The sequence below is a fragment of the Homo sapiens genome, chromosome 13, assembly GCF_000001405.40.
Source record: "Homo sapiens chromosome 13, GRCh38.p14 Primary Assembly".
Classification (NCBI taxonomy): Eukaryota; Metazoa; Chordata; class Mammalia; order Primates; family Hominidae; genus Homo; species Homo sapiens.
This window is the reverse complement of record NC_000013.11, coordinates 31267313-31288752: the sequence shown is the minus strand read 5'-3', so window position 1 is coordinate 31288752 and position 21440 is coordinate 31267313. Positions and strand designations below refer to the sequence as shown.

At 37.8% G+C, this 21440-nt stretch overlaps 1 protein-coding gene across 6 annotated transcripts in view; it reads right to left on the bottom strand.

Annotated features, from left to right (window-relative positions):
* The window catches only part of B3GLCT (beta 3-glucosyltransferase), a 132302-nt gene that overhangs the window by 43524 nt on the left and 67338 nt on the right, over positions 1-21440 (bottom strand). For 5 of the 6 annotated variants that reach the window (NM_194318.4, XM_011534936.2, XM_006719768.4 and 2 more), the window contains 5 exons: positions 19476-19539; positions 14125-14244; positions 11982-12051; positions 3992-4105; positions 1934-2033 (listed from right to left, as the gene is read on the bottom strand). In NM_194318.4, coding sequence (NP_919299.3) covers positions 1934-2033; positions 3992-4105; positions 11982-12051; positions 14125-14244; positions 19476-19539 — 468 coding nt within the window. Of the gene's footprint in view, positions 1-1933; positions 2034-3991; positions 4106-5446; positions 5533-11981; positions 12052-14124; positions 14245-19475; positions 19540-21440 lie in introns of those variants that run through there. The other variant, XM_047430111.1, reaches the window with a different exon arrangement.

The window sequence follows — 21440 nt, the reverse complement described above, 5'->3', positions numbered from 1 at the left end:
AGAATATTTTTCCTGAAGATGTATATATGTTGTTGGTTAAGTAAGACACCTTGGCTTTTATTTTTGGTGCTGTTGTAGTGTGGTCTTTGTGTGACTTTTTCAGTAGTACACAAGGTTCGTGGTATGTGTAATTTCCTCAGTGGCTTAGGGTATGGTTATTAGCTGAAGCTGTGAAATTTTGCTGGGGACTTGGATGCCAACTGAGTCAGTCTTTGGGCCCCAGTGGTGGCAGCAGAAGGGTGAATATGCCTGTTTTTAGGCCCTAAAGCAGCTTATGCTGGCTGTGGTGTTAGAGAGTTCTGAATGGCTGATTCTTGGGCCTGCAGGTGAACTGCTTGCTTAGAAGCTAGTAATGAGAGCAGTGGGCTAGGTGTGTGGACAAGTTGTTAGCCCCCTGAGCAGCTGGTATGATGTGAATGATGGCAGTAGTGGTGGTGGAGCAACCCACTGAGACCCAAGAGGTCCATGTTGGTGTTGTGGGTAGCTACAATGGGTTAAGCATGCTAGTCCTCAATTCCACAGCTGCCTAGAGTGGGGCAGTGGGTACTGTCCTAAGTGTCCATTATGGCATTCCTGGAGGTGGCTGTTCTCTGCTTTTGTGCTTATGGTGTGCCTGGGGTTCATTGACACTCTTGGATCTATGGGTTTACAGTTTTCATTAAATTTGAAAAATATTTCTTTAAATAATTATGTGCTCCTTCTCTTTGGAGATTTCAATTGCATATATTCAAGGCCACCTGAAATTGTCCCACAGCTCAGTGATGGTGTTAATTTTCTAAAATTATTTTTTATCTTTGTGTTTCAGTTTGGATAGTTATTATTGCAATGTCTTCGAGTTCACTGATACTTTCTTCTTAAATGAATTTGCTATTAAACCCATCCAGTGGGTTTTTCACCTCAATCAAGAATGTAGTTTTCATCTCTAGAGGTATGATTTAAACTTATTTAAGACTAAGAGACATTCCATGTCTTTTTGAACATATGGAATAGAGGTATAATAACTATTTAATAGTAACAGCTTAATAACTTCTAATTCTAACCTTGTATAAATTCTGAAACCATTTCAATAAGCTAATTTTTTTTCACTTCTGTATTTTCCTGCTGCTTTATATGCCTGGCAACTTTTGATTGGATGGCAGATATTATGAATTTTACTTTATTAGATGTTGGTTATTTTTGTATTTCTGTAAGTCTTCTTGAGTTTTGTTCTCAGACACAGGCTACTACTTGGAAACAGTTTCATTTTCTTGTATTTTCTTGCTTTTCAGATATGTTAGGCAGGACTGGAAAAGTGCTTAGTCTAGGGTTAACTATCCCCCCTATTGAGGCAAGACCCTCTTACACGCTGTTCTCAATACCTTGTGAACAGGGGTTTTCCAGCCCAGGCATGTGTGAGTGTCAGGCACAATTCCCTCTAATCTGGTTGGGTCTTTCCCCAGCATCGGGTAGTTTCCTCACACATATGCACTGATCAATACTCTATTGAATACATAAGGGGGCTCTTCACCTACCTCCAGTGTTCCCTTTCTGTATAGCTCTCTCCTCTCTGGTACTCTGTCCTGCAAACTGTAATAGCCTTGGTCTCCTGAGACTCTCAGCTCCATCTTTTCCGCCCACAGAGTCTGTCAGGTTCCATCTGGTGCTCCCTCCCTAAGCAGTAACTTGGAATTCTCTTAAGGCAGTCAGCTCTGGCAGTCATAGAACTCACCTCATTTGCTTCATGTTTCTTTTGGATCATTTTCCTTTGCACCTAATATTCAGTGTGTTAAAAACCTTTGTTTTATATATTTTGTTCCTTAAGAGGATTGGTTCAGATAGAAGGGTAAACCCCGTCCCCGTTACTTCATCTTGGCCAGAAAAAGTACCCATCTAGTTTTTTGAATATGAATATATGTAGAATTTAAAGCCATTTAGGATGAGAATGACTCCTTACCTTATTAATGTATCATCATCCACAATGACTAACCATGCTGTTTTGTCCTGGCTACGATTCAGAAATCTTTCCAAAATGGCAAATGTCTTTCCACAATGACCTAGAAAAGGCAAGAAAAAAACTTACAATGTATTATTTCTTATAAAATATATAGAATTTGTTCATTTCTTTTTAGTTTTGAAGTGTTCTAAGAGCTTACATGCCAAAATGCAGCTTAAAAGTTCAAAATTTTTAAAAATAGCCTTCTCTAATTTTCACAGACACATTGAACCAGTGGGAACTTTAGAGATAATGAAATTCAAGCCATTCATTTCTCACACAAGGAAATGGAGACCTAGAGAGATGAGTGGAATTACACAGTCACACAGATAATCTGAGGCAGAGATAGAATTAGTAACTTCAGTCCAGGCAAGAAAGTTTTAAGACTCACAGCAATGAGCAATGGCATCCTTTCTTAGATAAACTTATTCTGAAGGAGCTGTTAGAACCCCAGGCACCACTGCCACAGGGAAGCAGCAGTGCAAAGGCGGAAGCTTATACCTTCATTTACTTATTTTGTAAATATTTACTACCACTAAGTTTCTAACATGCCAGATACTGTGGCAGGTACTAAGCACTAAAGATATAGTGCTGAGTAAGACAGAGTAACAGTCCTTCAGATACCAATAGATAAATTACAATGCTTTAATGGTAAATGCTGGACAAAAATAAAACACTTGGGAAGAGTAGTCAAATTGATAAACAGGAATATGCCCCTCATTTTAATTATTTGGTGACACAGTGGAGCACAAATATTAACTTATATTAATGACTATTAAACCACTCAATTTGACCTTTATTTTCTTTACTCTTGATCTCTGTGTATTTTTAACCATTACAATACGTGTTTCAAAGCCACCTCAAATCCCTTTTAGAACAAATATAAATATAGACAATAAGACCAGACTAGTAATGAAGACATCAAATAAGGTATAAGTAAATACATGATTATTAAACCCAATCTAAAATCGTTTTTCCAAATCAAACAGCAACAGACAGACTCAGTAATACACTTAACCTTGTTAGAAGAATTGGTAACTACAGAGATGGCATATCTGATTCTGCATTGTACTATATTAATGAAAGAATTATGAGTGACACTAACATAAAATAAGATAAATTACTGTATAGAACATAATCAGTTTGCTACTTTTTTTTTTTTTTTTTTTTTTTTTTACTCATAAAAGGGCATGGGGAACAAAAAAACTAAAGAACAAAGGGTGGCAGGAACACTGGATAAAACTTAAGATGAATAAAGAATATCTGAAGATGAGGTGGCCAAATTTTCACTTCCATTTTTTGACACAATTTTTTAAAATTTTTATAGATTTAAGAGGTACAAGTGCAGTTTTGTAACATCGACATATTGTACAGTGGTGAAGTCTGGGCTTTTGGTGAAGCCATCACCCGAAGAGTGTCTATCGTACTCAGTGGGTAATTTCTCATCCCTCGCCCCTCTTCTACTCTCCCACCTTTTGGAGTCTCCAATGTCTACCATTCCACTCTGTATGTCCTAAAAAGTGTTTTTAATTAGAAAGCCTGCAATTTGAAGAGAAAAGCAGGTTTATTTCCAACAATTTACTAATTAAAATCTTAACATATAGAATACAGTTTATTCTACATATAACTAGTGTAGAATGTGATTAGGTGGTACTCACGGGTAATATAATATGTGAACTAGACTATAAGACTGACAAGGAGAGAAGCTTTATGTGGGAATATAATAAACACCCCATCATGGTCGCAAAGAATTATGAAGGTATGAAAAATCTATTGTTAAATTCTGCTGTAACTATCATGTGCTCAATTATAGGATATAAGCTACTAAAAACTTGCAACACTTCGTACTATAAAGCCCTTAGTTTGAAAGAACCAATCAGTATCTGAGAGAAGGGAAAAAACTAATATGAGGCAAAAATTATAGCACTTATAAAACATTTCATTTTTATCCTAACCTAATTTACTGTATTTACAGAATGGCAATGTTTAATAAGGAGAGTAGTAAGAATTATGACTCACCTCTATCTGTATTAGGAATTCCCAAATCCACAGTAGGAATGGAATTTTCAGTATAGTCACTATAGTATTCAATGAGACTTGCCTGGCTCTCCCAAGTCTGCTTAACAATAGGTACTGAAAAAATTACAGAGGTGACAATCACTGGCACAGTTACACAAGGAAGCTTAAAAATTCAAAATGGCAGTATAATCATCTACAAAGGAAGAGAAACATTACTGGTTGTTCTTCAGGTGTTCCAAGAGTTGCTTGCTTCCAACCCTGAGAAATGCCAACGTTGTTGACTAAAACCCTCTTCTTGAAGCATTTTCAACATTCTCTAGAGTAAAGCATTTCTCATTCCTGGTGATGAATGCACTTACTTCCATATAATGATAAATTTTCTGGTTTGATTATGCTATTGTGTTTACATTAATGTTAACTAATTTTTCTTTTACCACGGAGCACGGTAAGAGAAAATCCATCCCTCTTACCGTGGAGCATGAGAAGACCTTTGCAAACTATGCATGTCCCCACCCAAAGATTCTAACAGAACTACCCAACCCTACAAAGGGCATGACCTTGCCAAATGAGAATCACTGCATATGATGACTGATATTACGATGTTGTACTTTTGAAAAATGTGGAAGTACTAACATTCAAAACTACTGCAGGCTTTAAAACTCTATCATTAGCAGCTAAATTGTTTTAACACAATAAACACAACAGAAAGCTGTCCTGGTTTTCTGTATTTTGGCTTTGGAGGCTCAAAGATAGCTCTGTCTGCATACCTGACATATAGACTTACCACTACTTGATATTAATTCACCTGACCAAGTAATTCTTTTCTTCTATACTTAAAAAACAAATTACTGCCTATGCATCTCTGAATTTTAAAAAGTGGTTTCTTGTTTTTTCAATAGAAAAAACATTTAGATTTTATATCCTGTCAAAACTCTGATGAACCAAATCTTCACTTAACTTTTGAGAAACTTTATCAGATCATGTATCTTTCCCCTGTTCCCAACTCTAATAGAAATATATACAAAAACTGATGTTCCAATGTAAAATTTAAGTGTTTAGCTAATAAGTAAGCAAATTCTGAGTCCAGCTCAGACAGCCCTTATATAGAAAATACAGAAGTGCATCATTTTATAATCTCTTTCACTGGCTTTTTTTTTAAAAAAACTGAGTTCTGCACATCTGCTAAAATTACCAAATTACCAGTTAAATATTAATTTCATATATTAAAATATAATTTTTCTGCAACCATAAAAAAGCAGATAGTTCTAAAGGTTTCTACATGTCAAAATGGTCAAAGATGTACTAAATAATAGGGCTACTGGCGGACAAAAAAAGGAAAAAAGAAATGTTAAAAAATTTCACTCTGTTCTACTTCCAAATTTCAGCACAACAAAAATGTTAACCTTGGCACTGCTGTGGCAGTTTGCTTTGCATACAATAAGCAAGAGAACTTACCCCAGAAAGGGCTCCCTGCAGCTTGCAGCCACTAAAAGTTCACACTGTTGGGTAAAATATCCTCCATTGCATAATGCTGGAAGAAGCTGTGAGGAAAGGTCAAGAACTTTCCTCAGTCCCCAGCAAGGGTCCTGCAGGCTGTGCAAATTTTGCTTTCAATTTCCTCAGCCTTTAGGCTTTCAGTCCTTTTTCGCTCTAATAGGTTTATTAAAGAACACGGGTGTTTCTTCTCAATTAACTGAGTTAAATAAAATTAAAATCAAAATCAAGGGTGAGTTAGCACTTTTGCTTTCTCTTTTACTTTGAAACAGGTAAAATAGAAATTACACTAAAGGTAAGAATTAGTGTGTGTATGACTCATTTCCCAACACCTGGCACAGTGCCTAGGACATAGTAGACACTCAATAAACAGTTGAATGAGGACTGAATTTTGTAGGCATTTCAATAAAAGGCCTAGGATTATTTGTGGAAGCTTGTTAAAGGAAGGTTTTATTCATAAAGGCAATTCAGCCTTTGATTAATCATTTTAAAACAAGCCAACCATTTAGATATACTAAGATATTATGATTCTACAATACCTAAAGCATTCAACAGTTTGTACATCTCTCCCCTTGTCAATATAACCTCCATGCATCTGTCATTTTTTTTTTTTTTTTTGAGACAGAGTCTCACTCTCTCGCTCTGTTGCCCAGGCTGGAGTGCAGTGGTGTGATCTCAGCTCACTGCAAGCTCTGCCTCCTGGGTTCACACCATGCTCCTGCTTCAGCCTCCTGAGTAGCTGGGACTACAGGCGCCCGCCACCACGCCCGGCTAATTTTTTTTGTATTTTTTAGTAGAGACAGGGTTTCACCGTGTTAGCCAGGATGGTCTTGATTTCCTGACCTCGTGATCCGCCCGCCTCGGCCTCCCAAAGTGCTGGGATTACAGGCATGAGCCACCGCACTCGGCCCTGTCTGTCATCTCTTAGCCATAAAGGATTTAAAGTCTTCCAAAAAAACAGCTTAAGGCTTTATTTTCAACCAGGGTTGATTCTAAATTAGTTAAACTTTTAGAATAATGGTCTATTTTATTAGCATCATTTAAATTCTAAAATGAATTCATTCTATTATTTACAAAATATTTTATATTGTATTGAGGCACTGTATTCCTAAAGATACTAAACTTTGAGAAAATACTTTAATAAGTTACCTGATACATTATCTCCTTTTCAATAAAGAAGTATACTTCCTATAATAATAGTGAATGCCTCTTTCAAGAAAGTTTGTCATGAGATAACTTAAACTTGGAGCAAAGTAAAAAAAATTTTACTATAAAAATGCCAGCTGCACAGATGGCATAAATCTTTCTTAGAGCTTTCTAGACTCTAAGCAGAAGATGTGTCTCACTATGAGGACAGAACATGCATTTTTACCCCCAGGGAGGTGACTTATAAAACTGTCTCAGATTATAAATGAAAATGAACTTGACACTTGAACATTTTATTAAAACTACCACACCATCAAATGTGAATAGTTTTTATTTTAAGGAATCCACTATTTTCAGCTTGCAGATGGCCCTTTTGTCTCAGTGTGCAAGTCAGTGGTCACAAAATAAGACCCTGATTGCACTTCTCTTCTCAGGAGCAGATTAGGGACACACACATGAATGTGTCCTAATTCCTCATTTTAAAGACTGAGGTGTACCTAAGCCTGAAAAGTATCCCTCCTGGATGCCCTAACACAACACTGTAGGGCAATCTGGAACATCAGCTATTCAACAGCCAGGGAAAGGCAACACCTGACTCCTCTCCTCTCTTCATTCATTGATCTAATCACCTCATTTGATTAGAGTCTGGCCTTCTATCTGGCTGTATTTTAATTCAAGCCTCACCTTTTAAGTAAGCAGACTGTACCACAGTACATGTAAGCCTCTTTAGTCAAAGAGAACACCAGCCACCAAACACCCCTTTCAATCAGTTTGTTCAGATTTGCCTCTAGACAAGACCACAGCAGTAAAGACAGCAAACAGGTTTTTGTTTTTGTTTTTTTTTAATCTGAAAGGAATATAGTGCTAATTTTTAAGAGCCTAGGAAGCTGTGGAAAGGAACTAAAGGCTGAGCAAACGGCAATTTAACCTCTTTAATTAGAGGGAGACTGCAGGAGAGCATCCCACAACCCACCATTTGATGAACAAAACCAGTGGCTGCCACGAGGTACATGAGACATGTACACAAACTGCATGGAAAAATGATGCAAAGAAAATTCTTAAGGTTTTCTGACAGCTCAGGTCACACAGTGGGAAACACAGAACCCAAGAGGAAGCAATCAAGTTGAATATTAAAACACCAGAGATCATTTCCTTGCTTAAATATAATTTTACATGCTATGCCCAATTCATCACCTTATGTAACAGTTCTCAAGTTTCTTTAAAATCCTACTAAATGCTTGCCTCTCAGAGGGTGCTGCTGTTTCAATGATGTCAATATGTATTACTTCCTTGAGCCAAAAGACAGAGTATATTTTTGCTTGTTGTGTTCTAAGAATGCTGTTTCACTTAAGTCAGAATCCAGACAAAAGCAATTACATAAATGTGTTATTGTTAAGCCAAGAAAGTACAATATTTAAAATATTTCTTTTCATTGTGAAACTTGGTTTTATTATCAATTCTTCCATGAGAGTATAAAAAATAAATGCAATCTATATTTTCCCTTGCTGTGACTACGGCCTTGAGCAGAACATGTTCCATCTCTCCTTCTCATCCCAGAAGGTAACCAACATATAATGAAGCAGGAGTGGGGGCCATCACCACCCAGTGCCAGGGGACACTGTGCCCACAATTAACAGTACACCCCACTCTCAACTTGGCAAACACAAGTACAGTTTCTCTAGATTTTTTTCCTTCATCATTTGGCCTTTGTTACTGAAGTATTTCTACCACAGAGTGTTGCGGGAAGTCAGGGACCCCAAACGGAGGGACCGGCTGAAGCCATGGCAGGAGAACATAAATTGTAAAGATTTCATGGACATTTATTAGTTCCCCAAATTAAAACTTTTATAATTTCTTATGCCTGTCTTTACTGCAATCTCTGAACATAAATTGTAAAGATTTCATGGACACTTATCACTTCCCCAATCAATACTCTTGTGATTTCCTATGCCTGTCTTTACTTTAATCTCTTAATCCCGTCATCTTCATAAGCTGAGGATGAAATGTCACCTCAGGACCCTGTGATGATTGCGTTAACTGCACAAATTGTTTAAACAATATGAAATCTGGGCACCTTGAAAAAAGAACAGGATAACAGCGATATTCAGGGAACAAGGGAGATACCCTTAAAGTCTGTCTGCCTGTAGGCTGGGCAGAACAGAGCCATATTTCACTTCTCTCAAAAGCAAATAGGAGAAATATTGCTGAATTCTTTTTCTTAGCAAGGAACATCCCTGAGAAAGAGAATGCGTTCCCAAGGGACGGTCTCTGAAATGGCCGCTTTGGAAATGTCTGTCTTTTATGGTCGTTGATAAGGGATGAAATAAGCCCCAGTCTCCCGTAGCGCTCCCAGGTTTATTAGTATGAGGAAATTCCTGCGTAATAAATTTTGGTCAGACTGGTTGTCTGCTCTCAAACCCTGTCCCCTGATAAGATATTATCAATGACAATGTGTGCCTGAAACTTCATTAGCAATTTTAATTTCGCCCTGGTCCTGTGATCTCGCCCTGCCTCCATTTGCCTTGTGCTATTTTATTACCTTGTGAAGCAAGTGATCTCTGTGACCCACACCCTATTCGTACACTCCCTCCCCTTTTGAAAATCACTAATAAAAACTTGCTGGTTTTACGGCTCAGGGGGCATCACAGAACCTGCCAACATGTGATGTCTCCCCCGGACACCCAGCTTTAAAATTTCTCTCTTTTGTACTCCTTCCCTTTATTTCTCAGACTGGCCAACACTTAGGGAAAATAGAAAAGGACTCACGTTGAATATTGGGGGCTGGTTTCCCCCACTAATAGAGTGCACAGGGAAAAGAAAATGAAAAAAAAATCCAACACCCCAGACCATGTATTCTGCTTGACTATAGCAGTGATATGCTTAGATAGGAGTGGCAGTCTAAATTCTCAGCTCGATTTGTATTTTAGATCCTGTGTGGGTTTCAATTCCTTGCCATCCCCATTGCTACTAAAAATGGAAAGCCTACTTTCACAGCTTCTGGCCAAGTCAAAACTGACCTTGAGCATAGCAGGACATCAACATGAATAGCAAAGACTATTTATCAAGTATGGAGTTTGTAATACATCCAAGGAGATTACAGTATAGCTGTGCTGTGGTAGAAAAAAATGTGGGACTTAGGAGCCAGAAAACCCAAGTCTTTGGCTCTGCTACTCAATAGGATACAAGAAACTGAGCCAGTTGTGTATCATTCCATACTCAGCTTTTTCCACAACAAGTGAATAACAATAATTATCATATCACGAGGAAGTGTCAACATGAAACTAGGTAATAGAACATATGTGAAAAACACACCAGAAAATGTAAGAAATATTAGCAGTTAGAAGCAGTTAGTGTGATGTTATCCTTGTAACTGGTATTACTGGATAACTCTTTGGGCCAACTGATGGCTGGACTAGGCTTCTAAAATGAGGGGCAGAGCCCAGTGGTGGCTTGGCAGGCTACATGAAGTCATGCAAAATGGACTTCAAAGTCACTGAAATCCTGTTGCCTTAGACTATCTTTTCAAACAAACATATCCAAGTTGAAAAACGGCTTACCACAGAAACCCAAATATGAAAACTTCATGATACATTTTAGGCCTCATGCTTTAATGATCCCAGATTCAAATTAACAGCAGTAAATCAATGCATCTGGCTTTGGAAGGTTTGTTTCTAATGCTCCTAATAGGCTTTTAAGATTTTGTAATTTTTAAAGACTTTTGACTCAAAATTCAAACAGAAAAGGATTTCATGAATATCTAAAAAGAGTATCTCAAACTTATGCAAAATAAGAAAGCAGTAAACTAGATTATTCAAAATTACTAAATCAAAATTAACAAACTATTTTTTTTTTCATTTCTGTAGAATATAAAAAATACAACAGGGAGTGTCCCTAATTTTACTGCTTCACTGTGACCTGAAAAATGTGTTTCAAAGAAAAAGTACCAGCAACACCATCCTTAACATTAATATTGTGAAAACAATCACTACTCCAAGTGTAGCTTCAAGATCAATTAAATCAATTCAAACAGTTCCTGCTTGCTGTAAAAGAAACAAAACAAAAAGCGGTATAGTTCATTTCCCCAACACCTATTTAAAGAAGGTATTTGTCAAAATAATCCCACAAAACCCTTCCATATTATGAAAAAAGTAAAAGGATATTAAATTTAGGTTAAATTTATGATAAATAAAAATTTTATTTTAACTGCTATACTGATTCTTCACAGTATCTTAGGACTTGTTGCATAACAAATGTATTCATATAGACTGATTTAATAGGATTTGGAATTTAGTGTGGCCATTTTAGGCAAATATGAAGGTTTATAGTTAATGTATTTTTAAGATATAATTGATTATAGCTGGATTTTAATTGATGTTGATGTCTTAGACAATACTATAATCTCAAATTATAATATTATTTTATTTGGAAAACATCTTCCCCTGTAAAATATAATTTGTATGTATCATATTATCACATAAAATATATAAATGAACTTCTTCAGTAGTTCCAATCCCATGAAAATGACAGTTGGTTTAGAAATCTCTCCTACATAAATACCACATCCTTGGTGAAATTGACAGTCTTTTCATGGGGAAAAAAATTAAAATACGCACTAAAATTAGAAAATGCAAAAGACTGCCTAATTTTCAATTTCAGAAAAGTGTTGCTTGAAATAAGGTGCAAAAAGAGAGAAATTATGTCTATTTATATTTAGGATGGGCTTTTTTTTTTTACATTATCGTCACAACTTAGCAGAATTCTGTAATGACATCAAAAACCTGAATAAAAACAACATTAATCTGCATGCCAGGATTTCCTTAAGAAGAGATTCACTGTTTGTACCGCGGCTTTTTCTTCTTCTCCAATATTATCTACTCATGAGCAAATACATCTCTTAACTAACAAGTTCCAAGGTAAGCATTTGAAATAAATTGAAAAAGAAGAAAAAGTCTTTTTTCTTTGTTGGCATGCTGTTACCTTGAAATCCCCTGACATTCTTCATCCCGTTTAGAGACTGCGCACAGACCTAATACATTGTTTGACAAAATGGACTGTTTTTCACACAGTCTCCAAGACTGCCACACTGAGCTTTTCCATTTCCAATTTAAAATACTGCCATAAGCAGTATCGGCTATGACCACTCACGTTTCAATACAAAATTTTCTTTCCTAATTGATCTTGGTGATTGAAATGGTGCAATGAGGAGTATTGATTAAATAACTGCTTTCACTTCAACATCCGAATTGTCATTATCCCTTTTCTGAATTTACACTCAAGAATTCATTGGTACTTTTCTTTAGAAGGTAGTCTGGATTTTAGCGTTCAATAAAATGAATAACCCAAAACATACTTCTGTCACCATGAAATTTCTTGCATGTTTTTACTGCAACAAAAATATCCTTCTTCTTCACTGGCTTTCTCTAAAAAAAAGAAAAGAAAAAATGTATGCATATGTGAGTCAGCGTTAACTTCACACCCACACTAGATCTCACACGCTCTAGAGTTCAAATTAACCAATGTCAAGGATACCAAACATATTTCCGGCATAAAGTTTTAGGGGAGAAATGGAAACATAGGTCAGCTGACAACATAGCCTTTCTGTCAGCCAGCCCTGGACCTGCCTGCTACACTGTGCACGGACTGTGCATCCCCTTAACAAGTTTCCAGAATTTCAGTCTGCTTGTTTAGAAAAAAAAATAATAACCACTGCAAGGCTGCTATTATTACTATAATTTATTAAGCACATAGTAACTGACCAATAAATGTTAGTTACCTCTCATTTCCTTTCTCCAGCTGGTGAAGATTTTGACAAAAAGAGAGAAATAGGGGGGATTTTTTAGTGTAAATTAAGAGATGTTGCCCTTTTCTGGGCCTGGCCTTACTTTAATGTTGAAAACATTTTTACGGCCTCTTTACTGGCGACCCAAGTCTAGGCTAAGGATGTTTTCTCCTCTGCCAAAGGTAGGATTCCTTGAAACACCTGGTGGAGATGGGGTGGGGGCAGTCCTGGAGCCCAGGCTGATCACACAGATGAAAGGGGGCACAAAGAGGGATTTGTCAACAAGACACACCCAAGCCCTTCATGACCCCTTTATTACCTGCCTTAGGCCTGCAATCATAGTTAATCATGACTCCTGTATAATTTGGGGCTGGTTTATAGTGACATCTAACTACAGCTTTGTCATGTCACTCAAGGCACTAGGAGAGCACTGAAAGAGCAAGCAAGCATTCTGCCTAGAAAGACTGGTCTCCCCCTCTGGAACTGCAAACAATTACAGATTCTCTCTCAATGCTGCACTGTGTTTTGGGGTGTGTGTGTGTGCGTGTGTGTGTGTGTCTATGTATTTATCTCTTCAAATGGCACACACAGACTTGTGTGTGACTGACTTGAGAATAACGACAATATCTGAGGTTGGTGAACACATTTTTTCTTATGAGAAAAGCTGTTAACAACCTTGTGAGTGTCAGGGTCTCCAGGCTCATACTGGGGCTGGACCTTGGGTCTGCCAAAACAAGTGAATTCATTCTGAAAGTTCTGGATGGCTGTCATTGAGATGAAAGGCAGAGCCACCTGCTGAAAGAGTAAAGGGTGCGGGCTTGTGGAGAAGGCGTGGGTGTCACAGAAAGCACTGGAAATTGCCTTTCCAGGAAATGGAACAGAAATTCTAATCAATGCATCCTACATCATCAACAAAAGAAATGAGTCTGGGCACACTAACCCTAAAGCGCTATGGTGGGCAGTCCCTCACAAAGGCTCTGGAGTAAAGGGGAGCCCTTGCTTCCCTCCCTACTAGCTGTGTAGCCATAAGCAAGCACTTGGCTTCTCTGTGCCTCTCTCTTCTCATTTGTAAGATGGAGTTACAATAGTACTAAACCTTGTATGATTGTTATTACTAGAGTCATGATATATAGTTCTTACTTGGCACAGGGAAAATGTTGATTTTCTTTTTAGTATGTAAAGTGCTAGTGCAGCACTATTCACAATAGCAAAGACATGGAATCAATGTAGGTGCCCATTAATGGTGGACTGAATAAAGAAAATGTGGTACAGATATACCAAGGAATACTATGCAGCCATAAGAAAGAATGAAATAATGTACTTGCAGCAACATGGATGCAGCTGGGGGCCATTATCCTACGTGAATTAATGCAGAAACAGAAAACCAAATACTGCATGTTCTCACTTATAAGTGGAAGCTAAACACTGGGTACACACAAACATAAAAATAGGAACAACAGACACTGGGGACTCTAAAAAGGGGAGGAAGGAAGAAGAGCAAGGTTTGAAAACTTCCTATTGGGTACCATGTTCACTATTTGGGTGACAGAATCAGCAGAAGCCCAAACCTTAGCATCACACAATATACCCTTATAACCAACTTGCACATGAATGCCCTGAATTTAAAATTCATTTTAAAGTGCTAGGATGACATTATGCACAGCATCTAAATTTTTCCTTTGATATGCAAAGAAGTTTTTCTTCTGTTACTCACACAAAGCGGTAGAAAAGAATGGAATGTGGTAGCACAGTAGAAGTCCACGTCATTGGTACAAAACTCAGGCACTGGGGTCAGGGGAGGTCCTCCGCCTTTGTCCCAGATGTAGAGGGCAATCTGCCACGAGACAGGAGACAGGCAGTGATGAAAGAACTCAGTCAACACAAGTATAAGAAGGGACAAAATATCTCAAGGGAAAGCAGAACACATCTTCCATAGAGAGTAGGCTGAACCATATCAATTTGTCAGTATTCAACAGGACTTCCTAAACTTAAAAAAATGACAATTCCATGTGAATAAATGTAATCTATTACTAACAATAAGCAATTAACTATGAATCAATATTCTGACCTCCAAAAAATTCCGAAGTATGCGGTTTTAGGAAAGAACACATTCTACAACATCACAGAGAGAGATGTAAGAAAATATTATGGCTCCAGTTTCCTTAGTATGGTAATCACATACCCCAAATACTCAACTTGCTTAAAACATCTACAAATGTTGGGTAAAATGCCCTTAAATATTTACATGTATTGCTAAGTTGGCACAAAAATGTGGAATCTGCGAGAACAAAAATGGGAAAGTGAGATCCTGGGGAAAAAAAGGCACCAAGGGTAGTTTTCCCTAGTAGGTATCAGCTGACCTCTGGCAAGGCTGAGTTTCTGATAGGAGTGAAGAGACTGAAGTCTATGACCCACCCAAGGTGGGGTGTGACCAACAGCAATCCCCCTACATAAAGCTAGGACCATGGGTCTAAATGGAGGGAAAAGAATAATCTCTAAATCTCCTCTTAGATTTTGCAACCAAAAGCCAGGCCTCCCTAATTTGTGCCACCTGTGAGGTCCCAAAACATCTCAAACTGATAATTTAAATTATCTCGTCAGTATAACCCACTAGCAACAGGCAGAAGCTAATGTAAATCCTTACTAAGGAACCACTACTTTAATATACGGCTCAGAGGATTTTTCCAAAGGAACAAGGGTGCTTACAGAACAATCACTCAGAGAAAAAAAAATCACACACAAAAAAGAAATAAGATAACGAACAAGAGCCAGCAGACATAATTTATTTAATCAGACTCAAAAAACTTCAGCTATCAGAATTATCAAACAGATTATAAAATTACTATGCTTAATATATTTTTATAAAGAAAAGAAAAACTTTAAAACGTGAGAAAAAATTATTTTGAAAAGATTACACAAAACAAGTAAGCACATTTGAAAAATAACTGAGGCTGGGCGTGGTGGCTCACGCCTATAATCCCAGCACTTTGGGAGGCTGAGGCGGGCAGATCGCCAGGTCAGGAGTTCGAGACCAGCCTGTCCAATATGGTGAAACCCCATCTTTACTTAAAAATACAAAAATTAGCTGGTCGTGGTGGCACGCGCCTGTAGTCCCAGCTACTCAGGAGGCTGAGGCAGAAGAATTGCTTGAACCCGGGAGATGGAGGTTGCAGTGAGCCAAGATCATGCCACTGCATTCCAGCCTGGGTGACAGAGTGAGAGAGACTCTGTCTCAAAAGAAAAACAAAGAAAGAAAAAAGAAAAATAATTGAATAAAACTTGTGATGACAGAAAATGACTGGCAACCTAGAATCATCTACATGATGTAAGCATGCTTCAAAAACAAAGTTGAAATAAATATTGTTAAAGAAAAAATATTGAGAGAATTTACCACCTCACTAAAAGAAATTCTAAAGGATATACACTTCAGGAGGAATAAAAAGGATTCAATTGGAAGGCCTAAGAAGCAAGATGGAATGATAAGCAAAAACAATGGCAAATATATGATGAGTTAATAAAAATGTTAACTGCATAAAATAATGACAATATCTAAGTTTCCAGGGTGAAAAGAAAAAGGGACAAAAATATTGAACAACAAGTGCATGTAAGTTGGGAGTGGGATAATCAGAGTTAAATTATCCTAAGGCCCTCAAATTTTCTGGCTATTGATTAATAAACCATTGTTAGGTTAAGAAAGCATGTTAAATATTTAAAATAATCAGTAAAGTACAGACAGATTTAACTTCTAAAATAGCAGAAAAGAAAAAATATGGACTAATAAATAAATGAATAAGAAGACAAGGAACTTTAAAATAGAAAAATAGAGGGGCCGGGCACGGTGGCTCACTCCTGTAATCCCAGCACTTTGGGAGGCCAAGGTGGGCAGATCACAAGGTCAGGAATTCAAGACCAGCCTGGCCAAGATGGTGAAACCCCATCTCTACTAAAAATACAAAAAAAATTAGCCGGGCATGGTGGCGGGCACCTGTAATCCCAGCTAATCAGGGGGCTAAGGCAGCGAACTGCTTGAACCCAGGATGTGGAGGTTGCAGTAAGCCAAGATGGCGCCACTGCACTCCAGCCTGGGTGACACAGCAAGACTCTGTCTCAAAAAAAAAAAAAAAGGAAAAATAGAAAATAAGGAGAGGGGCACAAAATAAAGTGATAGAAGTCAAATATATCAGTAATTACAATCAACATAAAGGTAAATTTGCTATCTGGTTTAAAGATAAAGATTTTCAAACTGGAGGGTGGGGGGAAAAGGCATGTCCTCTTTAAAAGAGACACATCTAAAAAAGATAAGGACACAAAAGGATTGAAAGAAAAAGACAAAAAACGATTATGAGGCAAACAACCAAAAAATGCTAACATTGAAATATTCATGTCAACAAAATAAACATTAAGACAAACAGCATTACTAAAGATAAAGACAAATTCACTAAGAGGATGTAACAATTCTAAGTTTGTATGCATCTAATTAACATAGCCTTAGAGTATAAAAAGCAAGAGTTGGCAGTTCCATAGGAAAAATCCACCATTATTATGGACGATTTCTACATTCCTCCCTTAGTAAATGATAAGCAGACAAAACAAAAGTAAAATGAAGGATTGAAGCAATGAAGTAAAGAAGAAAATATCTGAAAAGCATCATTAATACTTTCTTCAATCTAATAGATATGAAAACTGAACATGAGCTAGGCCATAAAGTAAGCCTAAAAGTATCTCAAATGACTGTTGTATAGACTACAATAATACTGTTAGAAATCAATAACAGAAACACCACCACACACACAAATATACTGGGTCATGATGAAAATTTATTTTTTTAAAGTGGGTCATAGTCAAAAAAAAGTTTAAAAGCTTCTGCCTTGGAGTAACTCTTGCAGATGATCACCATGATACACATTAAAAATATTCATAGAAGCAATGGTTGTAATAGCAAAAAACCAGTAGCCAATCAGAAGCCCATTAACAAGAGAACGGATAAATAAATTATTATGGTCATATGGGAGACTACTATAGAAAGTAAAAATAAGTTAATTAGAGCTGCATGAATCAACATGGATGAGTCTCAAATTAGAACAGTTATTTGTGATAGAGGTGGGAGACAGCCAAATGCCTAGGCAGATAGGGAAGGGCCCCCAGAGAATCTCTGATCAACCCCACAAGTGTTTATTTACACCAAATGTTTTGTCCGAATATGGGAACCTGCACAGGGGGTTTGCCTAGGCATGCCTGCAGTGGACTGGAGGCCCACATGCATGGAGGCCCACATGCACTGGAAGAATGGGGTGGAGCCACCAGGAATTCACGCCTTATGCAGGGGAGGAGAGTCCTCTTCAACTCGTGTGTAGGGGCCCTGGTATTCATTTTATGAGGTGGAAACCTGCTGACAGGACCCCCTCTCTTTGCTGAGAGCTTTCCTTTCACTTAAATACATTCCATCCTCCTCACCCTTCAATGTGTCTGTGTGCCTAATTCTTCCTGGTTGTGAGACAAGAATCCAGATTAGCTGAACTAAGGAGCAAAAAATCCTGCAGCATTTGTATACAATTTTGTTTATATAAAGCCCAAAAGGATGCAAAATTACATGTTATTCAGAAATACATTCATACGTAATAAAATATGAAGAAAAGTAAGGGAGAGGGAGAGAATTCAAGAGAGTTTAGTGTGGGGAGACGGAAGGAGGCCTCTCCTCAAGAAGCACATAGGTAGCCTCAAGGTCACTCATAGTTGTCTCCTTCTTAAACCAGGCAAGCTAGTTAAGTATTTTGTTCATTAATCTTTATACCTTTCATATATGTTAGAAATATTATTTTGTATATATTCAATGTTTAGTAGATTTCCAAACCTAAGTATCTAGAGCTGACTTTTCATTAATCCTATCTAGGCAGAACTTGGTTTTCAACAAGCCATTTTTTTCATCTTTGTGGAAGAGAAGAATTATGTTTTTCTAAGTTTATTTCTACTCAAATATTCTGTATTACCATTTAAAGACAGCTGAGAAGTCAGAAAGTCTTGTGTGTGCCTTCTTGTCCCTGGAAGGCCATCAGCACTGCTGGACTGAATTACATGTCAAGATTTACCTTAATGTCCTAACATACAGATTCCTGCAGAGAATGAGAGGCAAGACTGTTTTGTGCAGTCAGGCATGCCCACAAGTGAAATGCAAAAAGGGCCTTCTTAATGATGATTCGAGAATAATTAATGATGGGACAACTGCCACCTGCCTCTAGAATAACTGGTCACAGATGTCCAGTAAATGTGAAGGAACCAGGAGTGTTAGGGCTCCAGGCTGCCTGCTTGGGACCAATAGGCTCAATTCTGCTCCAGACAGCCAAGCACAGACACACAACAAAGGCATACGTCTTAGTCTGTTCAGGCTCCAACAGTAAAATACCATAGACTGAGTGGAGTCTAAATAACAAATTTATTTCTCACAGTTCTAGGGGCTGGGAAGTCTAAGATCAAGGGACTGGCAGATTAAGTGGTGAGGGCCTGCTTCCTGGTTCATGGATGGCACCTTCTAGCTGTATCCTCACATGGCAGAAAGGGCAAGGAAGCCCCCTGCGGCCTCTTTTATAAAAGTGCTAATCCCATTGATGAGGGCTCCACTCTCATGCCCCTATCACCTCCCACAGGTCTACCTCCAAAGACCATTTCACTGGGGCTCAGGTTTCAAGGTATGAATTAGGGGGGCGGGGACATGATCATTCAATCTACACTGGCATACGTACAACCGAAGCATCAAGTAAGAGCAGAGGTACTTTTAATGACATTTTTGCATTTTTTTAGAAATCTACCTCTGGACCCATTCATCTAGCTTAAAAGTAAAGAATCATGAATCACAAGATGCAACCTTTTTCACTGTTCTGTCTTCATCTACATAACTGAAATGAGCTTAAAATAAAAGCACCTAATTCGCTGGAGTGCTATGAAATTATCTCTGTGGGGAGTAGATGTGGGTGGGGAAAATGCAAGATTAGGGAATGCAAAATACCTTTTACATCAAAGGACATGAATTCTTGATTAGTAAGATTTTTAATCAAACAAAACATGACATACCTCATGTTTTAAATCTATTGTAAAGTCGGATTTCAAGGATTCACTCTTTAGTCTCTTGGTAAGCCTAGAAAATAGAGACAATTTGATTTTTTTTAACCAAAAGAAGTGTCAAGCAAGACTAACACATTCTTGAGACTTTCTAGTGTTTGAAAACAGATAAACATACAGATTTAAAGATAAAAATAACAGTTTAAATTCCTTGAGGGAAAGGACTGTGAAAACCCAACGGCTGGCTGACCAATAAATGAATGCAAGCCTGGTTGCAAAAGTAGCATTCATTATTCCAACATCTGCCAAACAACGTACAATACAATACAATGCCTTGGGGAAAAAAGTCATAAGCTTTGTTGACTCCTTATCATCTTTACACTAAATAATGACAGAGAAAGAAAAAAGAAAGAGGGAAATAAATTATGCTTGAGAAAGACAATGGCCACTTTTTGTTTCTCACTTTAATGAATCTTGCTGGGTTTTATGGGGGAAAAGCATGTGGTTTTGTTTTATTTCAAGTCACTGTCTTGTTTGAACATTTTCAATGGCTCCTTTCCCATACAGAATAAAGCCCCAAACTCCTGAGCCAGTCTTGAGGGCCCTACCATTCCCCTGACCATCTCTAGCATCACAGCACCCACTTGCTACACCCAGAGCACACACCTCCCCATTGTTCTCTCCCAATGGACATCTGCCTAGAGTGCCTGTACCCAACCTTTACTGAGCAAACTTGTAAACACCAAACTCATGGGTATCTTCTCTGTAAAACTTTTCCAGGTTTGCCCATCAGAGTAAATGGAAACTTCCTTGACCACCAGAGTACAAAGCACGGACCTATCAGCTTTACCACATTCATTAAAATCTGGTGCATACATAACTCTCTCTGTGCTATACTTTCTCCTCTGTCTTGCCAGCACTGCCCACCGCACCTGACCACAGTGAGCACTCAGTGAACTCCCTGAATGAATTAGACAACATATTATTTGATTCAAAGCTAACGAGGGAGGAATACTTACCCAAATCACCAAAATACCATATGGTTTTTTATTTATTTATAGAGCTCAAGACTAGACTATTAAATTACAAACCTCCTAATACATAGTTTCACTACAAAGAAATAATAGTGATTTTAAAAAGAGTAGGCTAGGCACAGTAGTTCATGTCTATAATCCCAGCACTTTGGGAGGCAAAGGCAGGAGGACTGCTTGAGGCTAGGAGTTAGAGCCCATCCTGGGCAACATAGTTTAACATAAAAGTTAAAACAAATTAAAAAAAAATTTTTAAGTTAGTCAAGCATGGTGCACTTGTATCCTAGCTACTCAGAAGGCTGAGGTGGGAGGATCGCTTGAGCCTAGTAGTTGAAGGCTGCAGTCAACTATGATCACACTCCAGCCTGAGCAACAGAGACCCTGTCTCGAAAAGAAAAAAAAAAAAAGAAAGAAACAAAAATTTTAAAAGAAAAAGGAAAAATACTAGTAAGTTTCCATTTTTTTCTACTGTTTTTAATTACATCTGTCTGGTTGGGCCACGAAAGATTTCTATAAAAATTCACTTCTGATTAGAAGAAGACAGAAAGCAGACACAGGATAAATGTGCTTCATTACAAAGCATTTGTCTCACAGCTGATACTAACACAGCTTGGTAGCAGGTAGCACCAAAAGAAGCCCCATATAATATCTGTCACATTCCCACTCAATACTTGCCCACAGATCTGTGAGTATAAGTGGGGTGGACTGAGAGACTATATCCTCAGATACACTCCAAATATATACTTAAGAGAAAAAATGTCTGCCCTGGCAAGTGAGATCTTGTTCAATTTGAATTCTGCTCAGTTGGAGCATGTTTTCATAAATAAACTGCATCAAGGTAACTTTGGGATTTGGACTCATGCCACATGCCTTCAAAATCTAATCAGACCACAAAGAGTAAGTATTCATTTCATTCAGGCTCCAAAGACAGAAAAGTCATACCCGG